At 35.1% G+C, this 19,445-nt stretch overlaps 1 protein-coding gene and 1 pseudogene across 27 annotated transcripts in view; one reads left to right on the top strand and one right to left on the bottom strand.

The window, feature by feature from the left end:
* Positions 1–19,445, top strand: part of CEP350 (centrosomal protein 350) — a 160,066-nt gene that overhangs the window by 40,919 nt on the left and 99,702 nt on the right. For all 27 annotated transcript variants that reach the window (NM_014810.5, XM_047435442.1, XM_047435459.1 and 24 more), the window contains 5 exons: positions 825–1,447; positions 7,446–7,559; positions 10,726–10,839; positions 16,201–16,347; positions 18,119–18,777. In NM_014810.5, the coding sequence (NP_055625.4) occupies positions 825–1,447; positions 7,446–7,559; positions 10,726–10,839; positions 16,201–16,347; positions 18,119–18,777 (1,657 nt within the window). The remainder of the gene's footprint in view (positions 1–824; positions 1,448–7,445; positions 7,560–10,725; positions 10,840–16,200; positions 16,348–18,118; positions 18,778–19,445) is intronic.
* On the bottom strand, positions 4,710–5,111 carry RPS24P5 (ribosomal protein S24 pseudogene 5; annotated as a pseudogene).

The raw sequence follows: 19,445 nt of genomic DNA on the forward strand, positions 1-19,445 counted from the left end.
ACTTTGGCTTTGCCCAGCCTTCTGTGCTTACTCCTGATTTTCTAGATACGCTTTACAAAGTTTGAAGCTGCCAAAAAGTACTTTGTGGTTAACAGATTTAACATTACTAACCACATTTATTTGGAAGAAAATATTTATTGTACTTCCACTTTATTTCTACCCCCAGTCTATTTATTAATTTGGTTCCTTATTTAGAAGTGACATATATGAAATGCCATTATTTGAGAACTTTTTTCTCTGGTACTTAAGATTTTATAGAGTAGCAAATAACACGTTTTATTGACAAATGTCAAGTGAATACCCAAAGTCAGATTATCATCCTGTTTTCTGGAGTTCTTAGGAAATCTCTTTACATATCTTTTTCATATTTCTTATTTTATAATATGCAGATTGTTATTTAGATTATTTGCCATTTTACTTGATAGAGGGGGTATTGAGCCTTGAGTCATAATATTATTAATGGTTATTTTGCAATCTTTAACTTACTGGAATTTCTAGGTTTTTTATTTTTTGGTTTCTAATGCTAGCTTAGAGTTCTCAGTTTGTATGACTGGTTTCAATTTGACTAGTTTTTGTACTTTTATGAAAAGCTTTTAAAAAGATTTAGCTTTAAAATTGACAAGTAGAAACTACGTATGTATAGTGTACAGCATAATGTTTTGATATATGTATACCTTGTGGAATGGCTAAATCAAGTTATTTAACATGTATTACCTCATTCTTATTTTTTTGTGGTGAGAACACTTAAAATCTACTCTTAGCAATTTTCAAGTATACAATATATTATTAATCATAGTCACAGAGCTTATTATTTTTTATTGTAGGGAAATCCATGGTGCACCTTCCAATTTCAGTTCCAGCCATCTGGAATCAAAGCACGTATACTGTGTAGATGTTAATGAAGAAAAGACTGAGAGCGGTAACTGGATGATAGGCAGTCGAGAAGAACGGAATATACGGAGCTGTGATTTTGAGAGCTCCCAATCATCTGTCATCAATGATACAGTTGTTAGGTTTTTAAATGATCGACCAGCAATTGATGCATTGCAAAATTCTGAATGTTTGATTAGGATGGGAGCTTCTATGAGAACTGAGGAAGAAATGCCTAACAGAACAAAAGGAAGTGAGAATAATTTGAAGCTTTCTGTGAATAACATGGCCCATGATACTGATCCAAAAGCGTTACGACTAACTGACTCTTCTCCATCCTCTACTAGTACTTCTAATTCCCAAAGATTAGATATTCTAAAGCGGCGACAACATGATGTCAAACTGGAAAAACTTAAGGAACGGATTAGAAAACAGTGGGAACACTCAGAAGAAACAAATGGCCGGGGCCAGAAGCTGGGTCATATTGACCATCCAGTAATGGTTGTTAATGTTGATAACTCAGTAACAGCAAAAGTCAGAAAAGTGGCAACAGCACCACCTGCTCCAGCATATAAAGGTTTGTAATCAGTCTTTATATCTTCCTCTCCCTGCTTCTTTGTTCTTCTTTCTCCCTAGGGTGTATTTGAATAGAGAGGATCACCTTTAGAACAGGATGTTATTCTTGACTGCATAAGCACTTAGGGAGGCCGAGGTGGGCGGATCATGAGGTCGGGAGATCAAGACCATCCTGGCTAACATGGTGAAACCCTGTCTCTACTAAAAATACAAAAAAAATTAGCCAGGCGTGGTGGTGGGCCCCCATAGTCCCAACTGCTCGGGAGGCTGAGGCAGGAGAATGGTGTGAACCCGGGAGGCGGAGGTTACACTGAGCCGAGATCTCACCACTGCACTCCAGCATGGGGCGACAGAGTGAGACTCGGTCTCAAAAAAAAAAAAAAAAAATTATTTCAACATACATGTTAAAAATACAGATTCCTAGATCCAACACTAGTCCTAAGTCAGATTTTCTGGGGCTGGGGTCCAGAATTGGAATTTTTAATTAGTCCTTCAGGGGATTCTTGTGGTTTGAGAACCACTATATGAACATTTACTAAGTTATACAAATAATAATTGATACTATTTTCAAAGAACTGAAAGAATAATGCCTTTATGCTGCCATTGTATTTGGATTGTTATTAGGAATTATTTCAAAAGTAATATTTAAAAGATAACTCCATTTCCAGAAAATATTTGAGTACAGAATATTTTGGCACTGGCATTGATCCTGTTGATATTTTAACCTTCAACTTTTAACGTGAATGATTTACCATCCTCATATTTAAGAAAACAATATTTAAATCACATTTATGCCAACATTGGTAGATTTTCATTAGAAAGTGCTCTTTAGAGCTTTTTTTTTTTTTAAAGCCAACTCAAGTTTTTATATATGGTGGTTTTAAGGGGTTTCTATTTTTCTATTTTTATTTTTATGTTCCTGAAATTATTTTCACAGGGTCATCCATGTAAAGTTTTTAACGAAGGGCTGATTTCTTGATTAGTTTAATTCATGTTAGATTTTTGTTATTTAAACTTCTGCCAGAGTAGCCTTTTTAATGTTTTAGTGGGTATTTTTTCCAACTTTAGTTTTTGTATACATGCTTAGGCAGATCAAAATATTATATAATAATTTGTTTCTTCTATTTTCTTTTTTTTTTTTTTTTTTTTTTTAAGACAGAGTCTCACTCTGTCGCCCAGGCTGGAGTGCAGTGGCATGATCTCGGCCCACTGCAACCTCTGCCTCCCAGATTCAAGCAGTTCTGCCTCAGCCTCCCGAGTAGCTGGGATTACAGGCACCCACCACCATGCCCAGCTAATTTTTGTATTTTTAGTAGAGACAGGATTTCAACATGTTGGCCAGGCTGGTCTTGAACTCTTGATCTCTGATGATCTGCTTGCCTCAGCCTCCCAAAGTGCTGGGATTACAGGCGTGAATCACCACACCCAGCCTGTTTCTTCTATTAATTTTAAGTAACTAACAATCTAGGGCACTTTTTTATTGTAATCAGTTTTGTTTTGTATTTCTGTGTCAACTCTAATTTTTCTCTAACAAGTTTTGCAGTTTCTTATAGTCCTAAGGCATCTTTAGTCATTTTTCTCTAAAACACATCTACTGCATACAGTTTTCGCCAATTATTAGTTTTTTGTATTGTTTACTATGTTTTTGCTAGTGATCTTCATTGTGAATTAGATAAAATTGGATAATTTGCATTTCATTCTAGCTAATTTGTGAGAAATTGTGATCAATTCACTTTAGAATACTGAAGAATTGCCATTGTCCAATATTATAATTAATAATATTTTTTATTAATAACAACACAATTCTCTAATTTTTTCTAGTCATTCGTGTATCACATCCATACTATTGGCACAGCACATAGCAAATGGCGAGGTCAAAATATTCTTTGTTGGTTCCAAGATAGTGATTACCCGAAATCTTTGCTGTAATTAAGTACAGACCCATTAAGTATAGATTACATATTTAAGTTTTGTTCTTTGTACAAGTCAAAGTTCTGAAATACCAATGATTATTCCACTAAGAAAAAGTTAAAATGTTCCATTTGAATTCATATTTTGTAATAATTTATAAAAACCTAAAAGTTAAAAACAATTTTACAGAATGAGAGTGAAAATCTTAGATATAACTTTCTTTGAGTTGATGACTGGATTTCCCATAATCCTTTTACTATTTTTTTAATGTGCTAGTTTTTATATTAAAATATTTTATAAATATGACTTTTGGAGGGGTTACTTTGAAAAAGGTAGCAAACATTTGAGAACTCATTATAGAATATGGCTTCCGATGTCCTAAGCAGTGGATTTTTTTTTCCAACAATGAAAAACTGTTTTTCTGCCAACTTTTTGGTAGTATAAATTAAAAGCATCTTAAAATACTGTATTCTAAAGTGACATTTTAAGTTTGTTTGTTTAAAGACATAATAAATTCATTTTGTTCGCAGTCCAAAAGATGAGTATACCTTGAAAAGTTCTGTCACTCTTGTGCTTGGCCCCCTTTCTGGAGGTTACTTGTGTTAACAATTTGTATATCCTTCCAGAAATAACTTTTGCAAACATAAGCAAATAGGAGTATGTGTGTATTGTGTGTCTGTGTATTTATTTATTTTCTTCCTCTTTTTATACAGTTATTAGCATACTAAACTCATTTTGCACCTTGATTTTTTATTTTTAAAAAGAAACCTAAGAAGTGCTCTATGGTTCTGCTTTAAAAATTTGAAATGGTGAACACAAATGGTGTTTATATGATTCTTTCTTGTACTATATTTGGTTGTTTGCATATTTTTTTCTTCCTGGTATAAATGCCCATGAAGATAAAGAGCCTATCTTGGTCACCCTTATTTTATCTCAGAACCTAGTACAGTGTCATGGACATAAGTAAGTGCACAGTAAGTTTTTTATTCTATTTAATAAATTTAACCAGTAAGAAAAAAAGTGGACAAAGAAATGGAAATAAAGACTTGGGGACAGAAAGAGAAACTGATGTAGATAGTGAAATCTTCTTAAAGTTAACATATAAGATGCAAATGCAAAGAAAGACTCTCATAGGGATAAATGTTTCCTAAAGAGGAGAGGAGAAAAAGAGGGTTAAATGTTGAGCGGTGGGATTAGGTGATGGTGAAAAGTTGAGAAAGACAGAAATACGTTTGCATAGAACTGCCACACTTCCTTTTTTTTTTTTTTGAAAGTTTTTACAGTTTATTAATCCTCATGAAAAATCTGCAGTTATCACAGATAAAGTCATTGCAGAATCTTTACTCCTGTTTTTAGCCTTTGCAGTCCCTCTGACTTTCTTCATTCTGTTCTTGTGTTCCTTTTGCTGTTTCCTTGGGGTCTTTTTTTCTCTCATACAGGCCATGTCTTGAAAGTCTGTGTTTGGTCTCATTTTTCATTGCATAATCCAAGGAATCAGAAATCATGCTGAAGCCATTTATCTTGTCACCAGCAAAATGGGTTCTGAATCCAAATACAAAGATGACATTGGTGTGGCTTTGTACATTTGGGCTAGTTTTCCCCAAGTTTCTGTCTTTGGTACTGTTCCCTTTCCAGGGTGAAGGACATCTACGACTGTTTGTGCTCCCTGAGGTAGTTGATTGGTCATGAACTTCCTAGTACAAATAGTTATTGTGTCATTCATGATGGCAGTCAGTCCTCAGGCAGCCAGGCAGAATCACCACACTTTTTTAATGGCAAACTATATTTTGCAAAACTGAACACTATGTTTATAAATTTTTTCCCTTATATAGATATAGATGTAATGGTGTGTTCCTTGCCACAAATGTCGGGTGAAATTAAACTGAGGCTATTGTGCCTAATAACTGAATAGATTATTTACTATTAGACATGTAATTAATTTACCAGTATATTTTCTCTTATACTTACAAAGTACTACTACCAGTTTTTTACTCCAGCCTATTCTTTACATTGATTTAATTGTGCAGTTATGTATGGGTTGCTAATTCTTTGATAAGTTGAGCCCATCTTAAGATACAAATCTTTATACTACTTTGGTTATCATCTTTATTCATTATTTTGTTGTTTTTGACAAAACAAAGTTCAGTGTATTTCTTAAAGAATAGTGATAATTTATTTTATTTTATTTTTTGAGACAGAGTCTCAGTCTGTCGCCCAGGCTGGAGTGCAGTGGCATAATCTCAGCTCACTGCAACCTCCACCTCCTGGGTTCAAGTGATTCTCGTGCCTCAGCCTAAAGAGTAGCTGGGATTACAGGCATGCACCACCATGCCTGGCTAATTTTTGTATTTTTGGTAGAGATGGGGTTTCGCCATGTTGGCCAGGCTGGTCTCAAACTCTTGGCCTCAAGTGATCCACTCGCCTCAGCCTCCCAAAGTGCTGGGATTCCAGGTATAAGCCACCGTGCCCGGCCAAAGAGTAGGGATAAATTTGAAGTGGAAAATCAAATGGTAATTCCTAGGAAATCCCATATGTGTAAGGTTTCTTGAGAAATTGAAAAAGTATGTTTGAAAGACCTGTTTTCCACACTTTGGACACAATTTGTCCGTATAAACGGCAGCTTGCCCATTTGTTCAGTCATAAGCAAAAACAGATAGATGGTAGCAATTATAATGCCTGTCTTCAAAGACAAGAAGAATAAATAATATTGTCTCTCCCTAAATCTGGAGAAGGGTAGTTCATCTCTTTGAAATTCATGATTTATGATCGGTATTCTTTTATCATTTAATTTAGTGCTTCTCCACTTCTAGTCTTTTTGAATGAATGTATATTGCTTTATCTCACTGATGCTTACTTTTCCTAAACAGTATGTGTTAACATACTATGTGGTAGCTAATTATACATTCCTCTTTTAAAAGCTTATAAAAGCTGCTCAGTATCATTAGTTATTAGGGGAGTATGAATCAAAACCACAATGAGATACTACTTTATACCCACTAGGGTGGCTATACAGTAAGTATTGGCAAGGATGTGGAGAAATTAGGACCCCAATACATTGCTGGTGAGAATGCAAAATGGTACAGCTGCTTTAGAAAACAGTTTGGTAGACTTGGCGCGGTGGCTCATGCCTGTAATCCCAGCATTTTGGGAGACCAAGGCGGGTGGATCACTTGAGGTCAGGAGTTTGAGACCAACCTGGCCAACATGGTGAAACTCCGTCTCTAATAAAAATACAAAAATTATCCAGGAATGGTGGTGTGTGCCTGTAGCACCAGCTGCTTGGGAGGCTGAGGCAGGAAAATTGCTTGAACCCAGGAGGTGGAGGTTGCAGTGAGCTGAGATCTTGCCATTGCACTCCAGCCTGGGTGACACATTGAGACTATATCTCAAAAAATAAAATAAAATGAAATAAAATAAAATAGATAAGATAGCTAAGGTAAAATAAATAAAATAAAATTTGGTAGTTCCTCAATAAGTTAAACATAGAGTTACTGTATGACCCAGGAATTCTACTTCTAGATATAATACCCAAGGGAATTTAAAACATGTCTACACAAGAATGTTCATAGCAGCATTGTTAATAATAGCCAAAAAGTAGAAAAAACCCAAATGTCTATCAGCTGATGAATGGATAAAGTATTGGTATAGTCATACAATGGACTATCACTTGGCAATAAAAAGGAATAAAGCCCTGATACATGTTACATGATGGTTGAACCTTGAAAACATTATGCAAAGTGAGATAAAAATAAGACACAAAAGACACATGTTGTATGATTTGGCTTATATGAAAGGTCCAGAATAGGAAAATCCATAAAGATAGAATTAGTAGTTGCCAGGGGATGGAGGGGGTCATATGAGGAGTGACTGCTAATAGGTACAGGGTTTCTTTCAGGGTGATTAAATGCTCTGGAATTAGATAATGACAATAGTTGTGCAATTTTGTGAATATACTATAAACCACTGAATTGTAACACTAAAAGAGTGAATTTTATGTATGTCGATTATATATCACTTTAAAAAGTATAACAAACAAAACTTATAAAGCAACTTTGATAAGAATATTCTGTGTTACTGGTATGTATTAGGTTTCAACCCTTCAGAGACCAAGATTCGAACACCTGATGGGAAAGTGTGGCAGGAGGCTGAGTTTCAAAACATGAGTAGAGAACTGTATCGAGATTTAGCACTTCACTTTGCAGGTGAGAATAGAGCTTTCTTATGTTTTGAGTATTTTGTCATACATGCTATCTAATTTATAATATTTACACATAAAATTGTCACCAAACTAACAATATTTTCCTTCTCTAACTGCATGGCATGCTGAAGTTGTGGTGGTTTGAGGCATAAGGCTCTCTTAGCCTCTAGACTCAGCTCCAGGGTTAAAATTAGCTTACATGGTTAATGAGACAGAAACTAGGCTATTTTTAAACTGAGGGACTTTCAGAGTTGGGACTGCCTGATTTGAAGGAAACATAGCAGAATTTAGTTGAAGTTTACTTCTGCTTAGGCCTCTGAGATCTTTGAAGTAGTGAGTAATTTGTCAGGCAGCAGGTAAGATACTTACATGAGAGCAAGATACCAAAAGAAAAATAAGTATTATAGGAAGGGAATAAGTTAGGAATTAGAAACAGGAGGAACCCATGGAAGACTGGGAGAGGGTAATAGGAAGGTCATACTAATAATGGTACTACCTACCGAATAGTATGAGCTTGGGCAAGATGCTGAGTGGGCTTTTCTATTTTTTACAGTTGAGGAAATGGAGGCTCAAAGAGTCATTTTCCTAGGGTTGGATAGAGTAATTAAGAATTGAAGCCAAGATTCAAAACCCACTCTGATTCTAAAGTGTGAGGTCTTTGTAGTAAGCCCTCACAAAGCTTCTACTAATACATTTCTGTGGCATTAAGTGTCCGATCCAGTTTTCTTGCTATTATTATACAACACTCTATTCAGAAATTTTTTTCTCATGTGCAAAGGAAGAATAATGTAATAGTTAAGAGCCAAGATTTTGGAATCAGCTTTCAAGGCTTCCAGTTCTGCCTCTGTCAGTTATTAGTTGAGTATACTAGCTATGTTACATAACTTCTCTTTATTGGTTTTTTCATCTGTAAGATAGGGATAATAACAATATACCTCATAGGATAGTATCATTATAGACTAGTAGAATATGTCAAAAGACTTTGATATTCTGCCTTCTCTCTTGTTACGGTAGATGAACTATGATGTTCCTAGCTAAGACTAACCCATCTACTTGTGTTTTAGATTCCATTTGCTCTGACGTATTTAAGGATGTTACTTCAGCCCTGTTGCCTTTCTTTTGCATGATCAAGTTTTCCCTCTCTACCAGGTCATGCTCATCAACATACTATGTGATAACATGCTGTTATATCAGTCATTGTAAAAGAACCCCTCTTTTGGCCTTACTTTTCTCCAGCTGCTGCCCTGTTTGTTTCTTGTTTTCAGCAAAACTGCAAAAAGTTGCCTTATGCTCATTGTCTTCAATTTGTCTCCTCTCTTTCTCTTAAATCCTTTCTATAGGTGTTTGTCCCTATTTATCAAGATCATCAGTGACTTCCACATTGCTAAATGCAATATTTAATACTAATTTGTTATGATCTGTCAGCAGCATGATTGATCACTTCTTCTTTGAAATTTTCACTTGACATCTAGAATACTATAAGTATCTGGTTTTCCTCCTAAACCTAATTATTCTTTTTCAGTTGTTTTTTTCCTAATCATCAGGATGCCTTGACCTCAGTCCTCAGAGCTTGGGCAGGCAGGCTGGCTGGCTTGCTTGCTTGCTTGCTTGCTTGCTTGCTTGCTTTCTTTCTTTCTTTCTTTCTTTCTTTCTTTCTTTCTTTCTTTCTTTCCCCTCTCTCTCTTTTTTTAAATTTCTTTTTTTTTTCTTAACCTTCTCCCCTTCCTTTTCTTCCCTTTCTTTCATTTTCTCTCTCTCCAATCCCCCTCCCTCTACTCACTCTATTTTTCTTTCTTTTTTTTTACAGCTTATCTATCTGCACACAGGACAAATTTGTCTAGTCTCAGGGCTTTAAATGTTCCCTGTTGCTAGTGATTCCCAAAGTAATGTCTTTAGCCCACACTTCCCCTCTGAACTCACTTGTATCCAGCTGCTACTTCCATGTCTCCCTTTGGATGTATAATAGATTTCTCAACCTTAATATATCCAAAATGGAACTAACTAAATAAATGTGGTCATGATATACCCCTTAAACCTGCTACTCTGGTAGTGTCTCCATGTCATTTAATTCTATCCCTCTAATTGTTCAGGCCCCCAAATCTTGTCATTCTTGAGTATCACACCCCCGCCTCATATTTTGTATGTAATATTGTCTGAAATATACTTAGAATATAATCACTTTCACCACTTCCATTACCACCACCTAGATCGAGGCCACCATCAGTTTCCTATCTGGATTATTCTGGTAGTCTCCTCACTGGTCTCCCTCTATCTGCTCTTCTTCTAATGAGTCTATTGTCATAACTTGCTAAAAATTAATTTAGATTAATTTTGCTCCTTTGTTCATAATCTCTCAAAACCTTCCATCTCATTCTTGAGTAAAACCTGAAATTCTTACAGTGGCCTAGATGGCCCTGCATGATCTAGCCCTTAGTTATATGTCTCTGACCGTAGTTCCTACTAATCTTCTCTTTTTTCAGTCCACTCACACTGACCTGCTTGCTGGGTTTCTTTTTAGATACTAGGTATGGTCCTGCTTTAAGGCCTTTACTTATACTTATTTCCACTCTACCCAGAATGCAGAACTCTACACATATTTTAAAGTACATTCATTCAGATCCGTAATTGAAGTTAATTTTTTAAGCTTAACATGTGTAATCAGTTTATTTCTGCAAGTTGGATTTTTAAAAAATTAGTAATAATGTGTATATAAAATACCTTGACATGTTTCACTAGCATCATCATAAAGAGGCCTTAATTTAAGAATATTATATTGAGTATTTCGTAAAGTTTTTATATAGAAATTTCTAAATGAAATAGGAATCTGTGAGAGTGCTCACCTCTGAGATCCTATAAAATGCAATGATCCTGACTTGGAAAGCATTTGTGAAACTAAGTAAACTTCTCAAGAGTTTCTTAGAAGAATAAATAAATAACAAAGGATTGGAACCCAATACTGGAGTGGTGGTAATCTTCATATATTTTCCAACTCCTTTTTTCCATAAAAGGAGTTGATGTTGGTATTATGTGGGCCATAGAAGTAGCCTCAGTGTAGGTTTCTTTCTCCCTACCTGCAGCATATACTTTATACAGATTTTTCCTATGGGCGGAGGATAAGTGAGGGAATGAAAATCATTGTTATATTTGCTGTAAATATTTCTGCTTTTCAGATGATATTTCTATAAAGGAGAAACCTGCTGAAAAAAGTAAAGAGAAGAAAGTAGTCAAGCCAGTACGAAAAGTCCAAAAAGTAGCACAGTTATCAAGTACAGAATGCAGAACAGGTTAGTTTTCTCAACATGTCCATCCTTTTTTTTTGTTTTTAATTAATGTTTTCATTATACTTTAAGTTTTGGGATACATGTGCAGAACGTGCAGGTTTGATACACAGGGTATACGTGTGCCATGGTGGTTTGCTGTACCCATTAACCCGTCATCTACATTAGGTATTTTTCCTAATGCTATCCCTCTCCTGCCTCCCAGCCCCCAACAAGCCCCGATGTGTGATGTTCCCCTTCCTGTGTCCATGTGTTCTCATTGTTCAACTCCCACTTATGAGTGAGAACATGCAGTGTTTGGTTTTCTGTTCCTGTGTTAGTTTGCTGAGAGAATGATGGTTTCCAGCTTCATCCATTTCCCTGCAAAGGACATGAACTCATCCTTTTTTATGGCTGCATAGTATTCCATGCTATGTATGTGTCACATTTTCTTAATCCAGTCAATCATTGATGGGCATTTGGGTTGGTTCCAAGTCTTTGCTATTGTGAGTGGTGCTGCAATAAACATATGTGTGCATGTGTCTTTATAGTAGAATGATTTACAATCCTTTGGGTATATACCCAATAATGGGATTCCTGAGTCAAATGGTATTTCTGGTTCTAGATTCTTGAGGAATTGCCACACTGTCTTCCACAATGGTTGAACTAATTTATACTCCCACCAACAGTGTAAAGATGTTCCTGTTTCTCCACATTCTCTCCAGCATCTGTTGTTTCCTGACTTTTTAATGATCACCATTCTAACTGGCATGAGATGGTATCTCTTTGTGGTTTTGATTTGCATTTCTCTAATGACCAGTGATGATGGGTTTTTTTTCATGTTTGTTGGCCGCATAAATGTGTTCTTTTGAGAAGTGTCTGTTCATATACTTTGCCCACTTTTTGATGAGGTTGTTTGTTTCTTGTAAATTTGTTTAAGTTCCTTGTAGATTCTGGATGTTAGCCCTTTGTCAGATGGATAGATTGCAAAATTTTTCTCCCATTCTGTAGGTTGCCTGTTCACTTTGGTGATAGTTTCTTTTGCTGTACAGAAGCTCTTCAGTTTAATTAGATCCTATTTGTCAAATTTGGCTTTTGTTGCCAATGCTTTTGGTGTTTTAGTCATGAAGTCTTTGCCCGTGCCTATGTCCTGAATGGTATTGCCTAGGTTTTCTTCTAGGGTTTTTATGGTTTTAGGTCTTACGTTTAAGTCTTTAATCCATCTTGAAGTTAAATATTACTGTTACCAAAAGTTCTCATTGTTTGGCACATATAAAAAATTAATACATTTTATGTATCGTGTGTGTGTGTGTGTGTGTGTGTGTGTGTGTGTGTGTGTTAAGGGGTAATTGACATAAACTGCACATATTTAGAATGTATAGTTTGATACATTTTCATAATTTTATACATCCACGAAACCATTTGTTCACCATATATGTTCATCAACATACTGAACACATCTGTCTTCTCTCCAATTTTTTTCTGTGATGATTTTTAATATAAGTTAACCAGATTAAAGGTAATTTTTATGTTGTGAACTTTTCTATACAAGGGGATTGTTTCTGATTGTCACTGAATCCTTTCACTTATTCTCAAAAGAGAATAAATGTTGCACATCAGAACTATGGCGTTCCAACCAGTATTAGTCAGGTGGAAGTCTGAATAGATCAAGAATGGAAAAAAGATAATTCTCTAGTTCCATAACATTTTGGCCCTCATCCAGATTGCCCAAATTTATAACTAGCTTTGTTCCTTTGGTAAATGAGCTAATTTTAGTGTGCCTTGGTTTTCTCATATGTAAAATGGGAAAGCAGTAGTATTTATCCCACAGGGTTGTTGTGAGAACTAGGAGTTAATACCCCAAAGCACTCATTATAATGCCTGGCACATGATAAAGACTCAACTGTTAGCTATGACTCCACTGATAATAGTAATTATTATTTCTGGCTATATTGAAAATGGCTATTTAGAATGTCATATTCTTCTCAGTAAGTAATTTGGGCCAAGAGAATGGAGAAAGTTGGGAACCTGTCACTTTCAATTTGGAGACATTCTAAATTCATTCATTCATTATACAAATATTAATATTTTGAACATTTGCTGTATGTGAGGTACTGTGCTGTACTAAACTTAGACAATACATTGGTAAGCAAGATGCATCTAGCCCCTGCCTTCATGGAGCTTATAGTCTTGTCAGGGAATAGTAGATATGTTGTTACAATAAAGTATGATTAGTGCTGCGGTAAGAGGTCACAAGATGTTATGAGACCACCAGGGCAAAACTGATGGGGTACTGGTTTTTGATCAGGCATCTGTTTTTCTAGTCATACACTAATCAGTAGAATGGCAGATAACACATTTTGTGACACCCATTGTTAACTTTAGATGTCATAATAGAGTGACACTTGCTATATACAGATAAAAAAATAAAATGTTACAAAAACATGAGTTATCTGAGCATTAACAATTACATTTTATTTTACTTTATTTTTTGAGACAGAGTCTTGCTCTGTCACTGGTGTACACTGGCACAATCTTGGCTCACTGTAATCTCCGCCTCCTGGATTCAAGTGATTCTCATGCCTCAGCCTCCTGAGTAGCTGGGATTACAGGCATGTGCCACCACGCCCAGCTAATTTTTGTATTTTTAGTAGAAATGGGGTTTTGCCATGTTGGCCAGGATGGTCTTGAACTCCTGGCCTCAAGCGATCCGCCTGCCTTAGCCTCCCAAAGTTTTGGGATTATAGGCGTGAGCCACTCACCCAGGCAATAATTACATTTTTAAAAAGTATTGTGTTTCATGTGGCGTTATGTAATACTGTTGTCAGAAGCATAGTTTGAAATGAAGCACAGGGACCCCTAAAACTTATGAACACTGATCTTGGATTGTATTTATCCAGTTTTGTGGTAGGCTAATTCTCATGTATGTACTGTGGCAGTGAGCTAGATAGAGAGTCATTAAATATGCTAAAGCTGTATTAATAGTTTATGTAGTGAAATTCCTTTTTTTTTAACCAATGACCGTGTGTAACTGTTCCAGAAAGTTAGAATTTAGAAATAACCACTCAGCATATTCAGATGCCAACATGTATAAATTACTATCCAGTGTATTCATGGTTGCTTTTGATTCAGAAAATCAGGCTGAAATTGAAGAGAAACCTGTTCTCTCATTTTACATAAGAACATCAAGTTTCTTATAAATAGATTGAGCAGTATACGTAAAACCCTTTAAATATTTTAGGTCAACTGTATAAGGTTAATAACAAGGTGCAGAAACATTTCTAAAGTAAACAGCACACATTAAAACTCACCTTTTTATAATTGATGTTTTTATTAAAATGATACTTCCGTTTAAACTTATAAATTATAGCCCTTTTTAAAGAAACTCTAAATGGAAAGTCTTTTATTATAAATACAATAAAATAGCATCACAGAAAGCTGGGAAAATAGAAAACAGATAAAACCACTATCCAGACTTAAATAAAGAACTAGTATTACTTTGTATGTTTCCTTACATTCATTTTAAAATTGTAATAGTAGGTTATGGTAATCACTGTTTATTTAAATTTTTTTGTATATGTAAAATTTCATTGGTTTTTGCATCTTTTCACAGGAACATTTCTGTTGTTTCTTATGAAAATTGTCATTTGTAATGGCCACACAATATTCTAGTAGAAATAGTAACTATTCACCATTCTTCAGTATTTAGTTACTTCCGATACTATAAAAATGATACAGTCAACATTTTCATCTATTTTTTTGTTTCTTTTAGATTATTTATATTGTATAAATTTCTGTTTGTTGGATCATTGATCAAGGGGCATGAATACTGTTGGGGTCCCTGACACATAATCCCATGTTTGCTTTTTTTTTTTTTTTTTTTAAAGAAACTATACCCACTTATATTTCAGCAAGTAATGTGTAGGCAGAATGATTTTATTATAATTTTACCAGCATTGACTATTAATGTAAAAATGTTACAATAATTTAATTAGGCTTGAAGTGCTACTACATTATTTTCATTGTCATTCTGTTTCTTCCTTCCTTTCTTTTCTTTCTTTCTTTCTTTTTTTTTTTCTGAGACAGGATCTCACTCAGTGTCCCAGGCTGGAGCACAGTGGCATGATCATAGCGGACTGCATCCTTGAACTCTTGGGTTCAAGTGATCCTCCCACCTCAGCCTCCTGGGTAGCTGGGACTACAGGCACGCATCACTGTACCCAGCTAATTTTTTTTAATCTTAATTCTTTGTAGAAACAGGGTCCTGCTATGTTTCCCAAGCTGGATTCAAACTCCTGACCCCAAGCATTCCTCCTGCCTCAGCCTCTCAAAGTGCTGGGATTATAGGCATGAGCCACCATGCCCGACCTCTGTTTCTTATATTACTTTGCATTTAAACACTTTTATTCTATGTTTATTTTTTGTAGTTTCTATTTTGTAAACAGTCTTTTTTTTTCATTTCTTTTTAAGTCACTGTCTATTTTGAGATGATTGCTTAATTTTTAATTTGTTACATTCTGAAGCTAGTGGATGAAAATCTTTTTTTCTTCTGGTAAACAGCTGTATTTATTGAAACATTTTTTTGAATTTTTATGATGAGGGCCATTTAAAATGATTATACTTTTTAAATGTTACTGTTTTGTACATAGAAAAGTAGTGTGTACTTTTGGTACATATCTGTAAAATATTATGTGAAAGTCCCTGTAATACCATCCCCTTCAAAAGTAATCATTGTTAACTCTTTGTTATATGTTTCCTCCAAATTTTTTACATGTTCTTTGATTAAGTCATTTTTTTAAAGCAAACATATTATTTTATCATGTGCCATGTACTGTGCTAGATATTGGTAAACCAAACACTTGTTGTATGTTAAGACATATTTTTGTTTTGTCAAATTTGCTACCTTAGTTCTTTTTTTGAGATGGAGTCTTGCTCTGTCACCAGGCTGGAGTGCAGTGGGGTGCGATCTCAGCTCACTGGAACCTCTGCTTCCTGGGTTCAAGCGATTCTTGTGTCTCAGCCTCCTTAGTAGCTGGGATTATAGGCACCCTCCACACACCTGGCTAATTTTTTGTATTTTTAGTACAGACAGGGTTTTGCCATGTTGGCCAGGCTGGTTTGTGCCTTAGTTCTTGAGGTTTAGGAATCATTATTTGGTACTTAACTTTCAAAGCATTTTACATTTATTTCAGATGTGTGGGTAAATCAAGATATAAACAAATGGTTAACTGACTTGGGGAGGTTAGGGTTTAAAAATATCATTATATTGTAAATCTTTTGACCTTGACAGATGAACATAAGATTAATAATAAAACCTGTATGGTTGAGTAGATACACTTCTTACAATTAAAATTTAAGTTTTAATTTCAGTGCCATGTATTTTTTTAGGTAGTAGTCATCTTATAAGTACATCTTCTTGGCGAGATGGACAAAAATTAGTAAAGAAGATTCTGGGACCTGCTCCCAGAATGGAGCCAAAAGAGCAAAGAACAGCATCAAGTGACAGAGGTGGAAGAGAAAGAACTGCTAAATCTGGTAAGTAGCTATAATTAAAATAGTTGAGAAAACAATTAAAAATTGCTATTAAGTACTTAGAGAAGGAAAAAGTACTCTTAAGAATGTGTTAGGACTTTGCTTTATAATTTTGAATGTAGCTCAAAAAAGAAAAAAATGTTCTATTGGGCTTGGTTATGGATAATATCTGCATATAGGTGTTATGTTCATCTTTATGAAAAATTGTTTATGTTGTGTTAATTACATTTAGCTGTCATTGTGAATATGAAAGCATTATTGTAATGAAATCATATTAGACTTTTAGGGACCTTAGAGAGAATCAGGTCCAACCTGGTTCATCCCAACATATTCAAGCAAACACGGACAAACATTCACAAGGTTGGATTTTTTTTATTTGACAGATTAGGAAACAGGCTCTGAAAGAGAAGTGATTTTTCCCAAGGGTTATGTAGTCAGTGGGTGTCAGATTTGGTGGCAGAACTGTTTAGTTTGACCCTCAAGTCCACTGTTTTTCTCCTATCAAAGTTTCTTGAGTGAGTGCTATTTCAAATAACTACTTTTTTCATGAACAGTAATTTTGGGATGTGAAATATAAATACTCATATGCCAGTTTTTCTTTTCAGCAGCCAAATTTGTTTCAATTTAATTTGAATTTCTGGAATGGATTCAGTAAGATGCAGTTGCAACTATAATTTGGCATATAGAAGTCAATGTACATATACAATACTTTGTATTTGGGCCTCTTCACTTTTATCTAGCTTGTAAATACGCTCATGTGTATTCCCAGTCTAAAGCCATGTTATCAGATAATTTGATGATAAAATTATTTTTTTTCTGTATATTTAAGTTTTTCCATCCTTCACTGGAGAGTTGTAGAGGCTTAACATTTATTCAACAAATATTTACTGAGTGCCCACTACATAGCAGGCACTGCTGTAATCTCTAGGGCTTCAGAATAAGCAAAATAGACCCAAATCCCTGGCTCTGTAGAAGAAGCATTCTAGTAAAAGGAATCATTATATTCTTCATATGTTTCTTGCTAACCTTTGCACATTTTCTCTGGAAATAGAGTAAAATACACAAAATTTTAAAAATATTTGAGCATTTGTTATACAGATGTTTAAAAATGTGAATGTGATCAGATGAGAGACTAATTCTGATCTTTTCCTTATATCAACAGGAAATATAAAGTTTCAGAAATCCTTTGATAAACTTACCTGAACATGGTGCCATTTCATGTAATTATGAAATGGGTCAGTGTTGTAGAATTTTCAGAAAAACTAATATTTTCAGTGCCATTATTATTTGGCATATGCAGTCTGGTCTTTGCAAAGCTTTAAAAATATATTTTTTATGATTATTAAGGCATTGCCATTTCCTTGCTTCTCATTGGGATGCCTTCCACTAAAAAGATTGTTGACCTTTTTAACAGCCTTTTGAGGGGTTGTGGAGAGAGAGAAATAGTAACACTAAATATGTATATAAGAGAGAAATCGAAATGCTAAATATTCATAACAACCATAAGAGCTATCTTTTTTGTCCAGAAATATTTCAAACTGTATTTAAAAACAAACCAAGGAAATATAGTTTTTCAGAAGATTGAGATTCTTCTTTTACTGCTAAAAAGGGAGGCTTTTCTTTCCTTTTATAATTTTCTTCAGAAGACTGTAAGATATTTGAATTTGAGTTTAAGTAAGATAAAATGAAATTCTCTAATTTTCTTGTTAATGCAGTTAAATCTTAGGAATGAGTATAGAATTTCGGTATATCACTAACAGTTCATACTTTGCAGGGGGTCACATTGGAAGAGCAGAATCTGATCCCAGGTTGGACGTTTTACATAGACATCTTCAAAGAAACTCAGAACGTTCGAGAAGTAAATCTCGGTCTGAAAATAATATAAAGAAACTAGCTTCATCTCTTCCAGATAATAAGCAGGAGGAAAATACTGCCTTAAATAAGGACTTTTTACCTATTGAAATTCGTGGCATTCTTGATGACCTACAGCTGGATTCTACAGCTCACACTGCAAAGCAAGATACTGTAGAGTTACAGAACCAGAAGTCATCAGCACCAGTACATGCTCCTAGGAGTCACAGCCCAGTAAAAAGAAAACCTGACAAAATAACAGCTAATGAAGATCCCCCTGTTATTTCCAAAAGGCGCCACTATGACACAGATGAGGTACGACAGTACATTGTTAGGCAGCAGGAGGAAAGGAAGAGAAAGCAAAATGAAGAGAAGAAGGCTCAAAAGGAGGCTACAGAACAGAAAAACAAACGATTACAAGAGCTCTACCGGAAGCAGAAGGAAGCCTTTACTAAAGTAAAAAATGTCCCTCCTTCTGAGCCATCAGCAACTAGGCGACTACAGGAAACTTACTCCAAATTGCTACTAGAAAAGACCTTGCTTGAAGAGCCATCTCATCAACATGTTACGCAGGAAACACAGGTAATAGTAGTGACATATACAAAGGAGAGTCATTCATGGTTAGGAAATGCTTATTTGCTATACTATTTAAAAATTACCCATCATTCCTAGTATGCTCAGATAATACTTATAATAATCATGGCCTTCATGAAATATATTAAATATGAGGAGTAATGTGATAAATGTGATGGAAAATAAAAGCTGAATTAAGAATTTCCTACAGTGATTGTTACTGATTTATTTTCCTCTCATCATTGCTATTAGTTACATCCCTGCATAGTTTTCATTGTAGTACTGAACAAGTACAGTTGACCTTTGAACGATGTGGGGGTTGGGGTGCCAACCCCTTTGCAGTTGAAAATCCACATATAACTTTTGATTCTCCAAAAACTGAACTACTAATAGCCAGCTGTTGACTGGAAGCCTTATAACATAATGTTGATTAACACATATTTTATATGTTGTCTATATTATACACTGTATTCTTGCAATGAAATATGCTAAAGAAAATATTATTAAGAAAATCATAAGGAAGAGAAAATATATTGACTATTCATTAAGTGGAAGTGGATCATCAAGGTCTTTATCCTCGTCATCTTCATGTTGAGTAGGCTGAGAGGAGGAGGAAGAGGAAGAGTTGGTGTTGCTGTCTCAAGGGTGGCAGAGGCAAAAAGGTAGAGATGGAAGGG

This window comes from Homo sapiens, chromosome 1 (assembly GCF_000001405.40).
Source record: "Homo sapiens chromosome 1, GRCh38.p14 Primary Assembly".
NCBI lineage: Eukaryota > Metazoa > Chordata > Mammalia > Primates > Hominidae > Homo > Homo sapiens.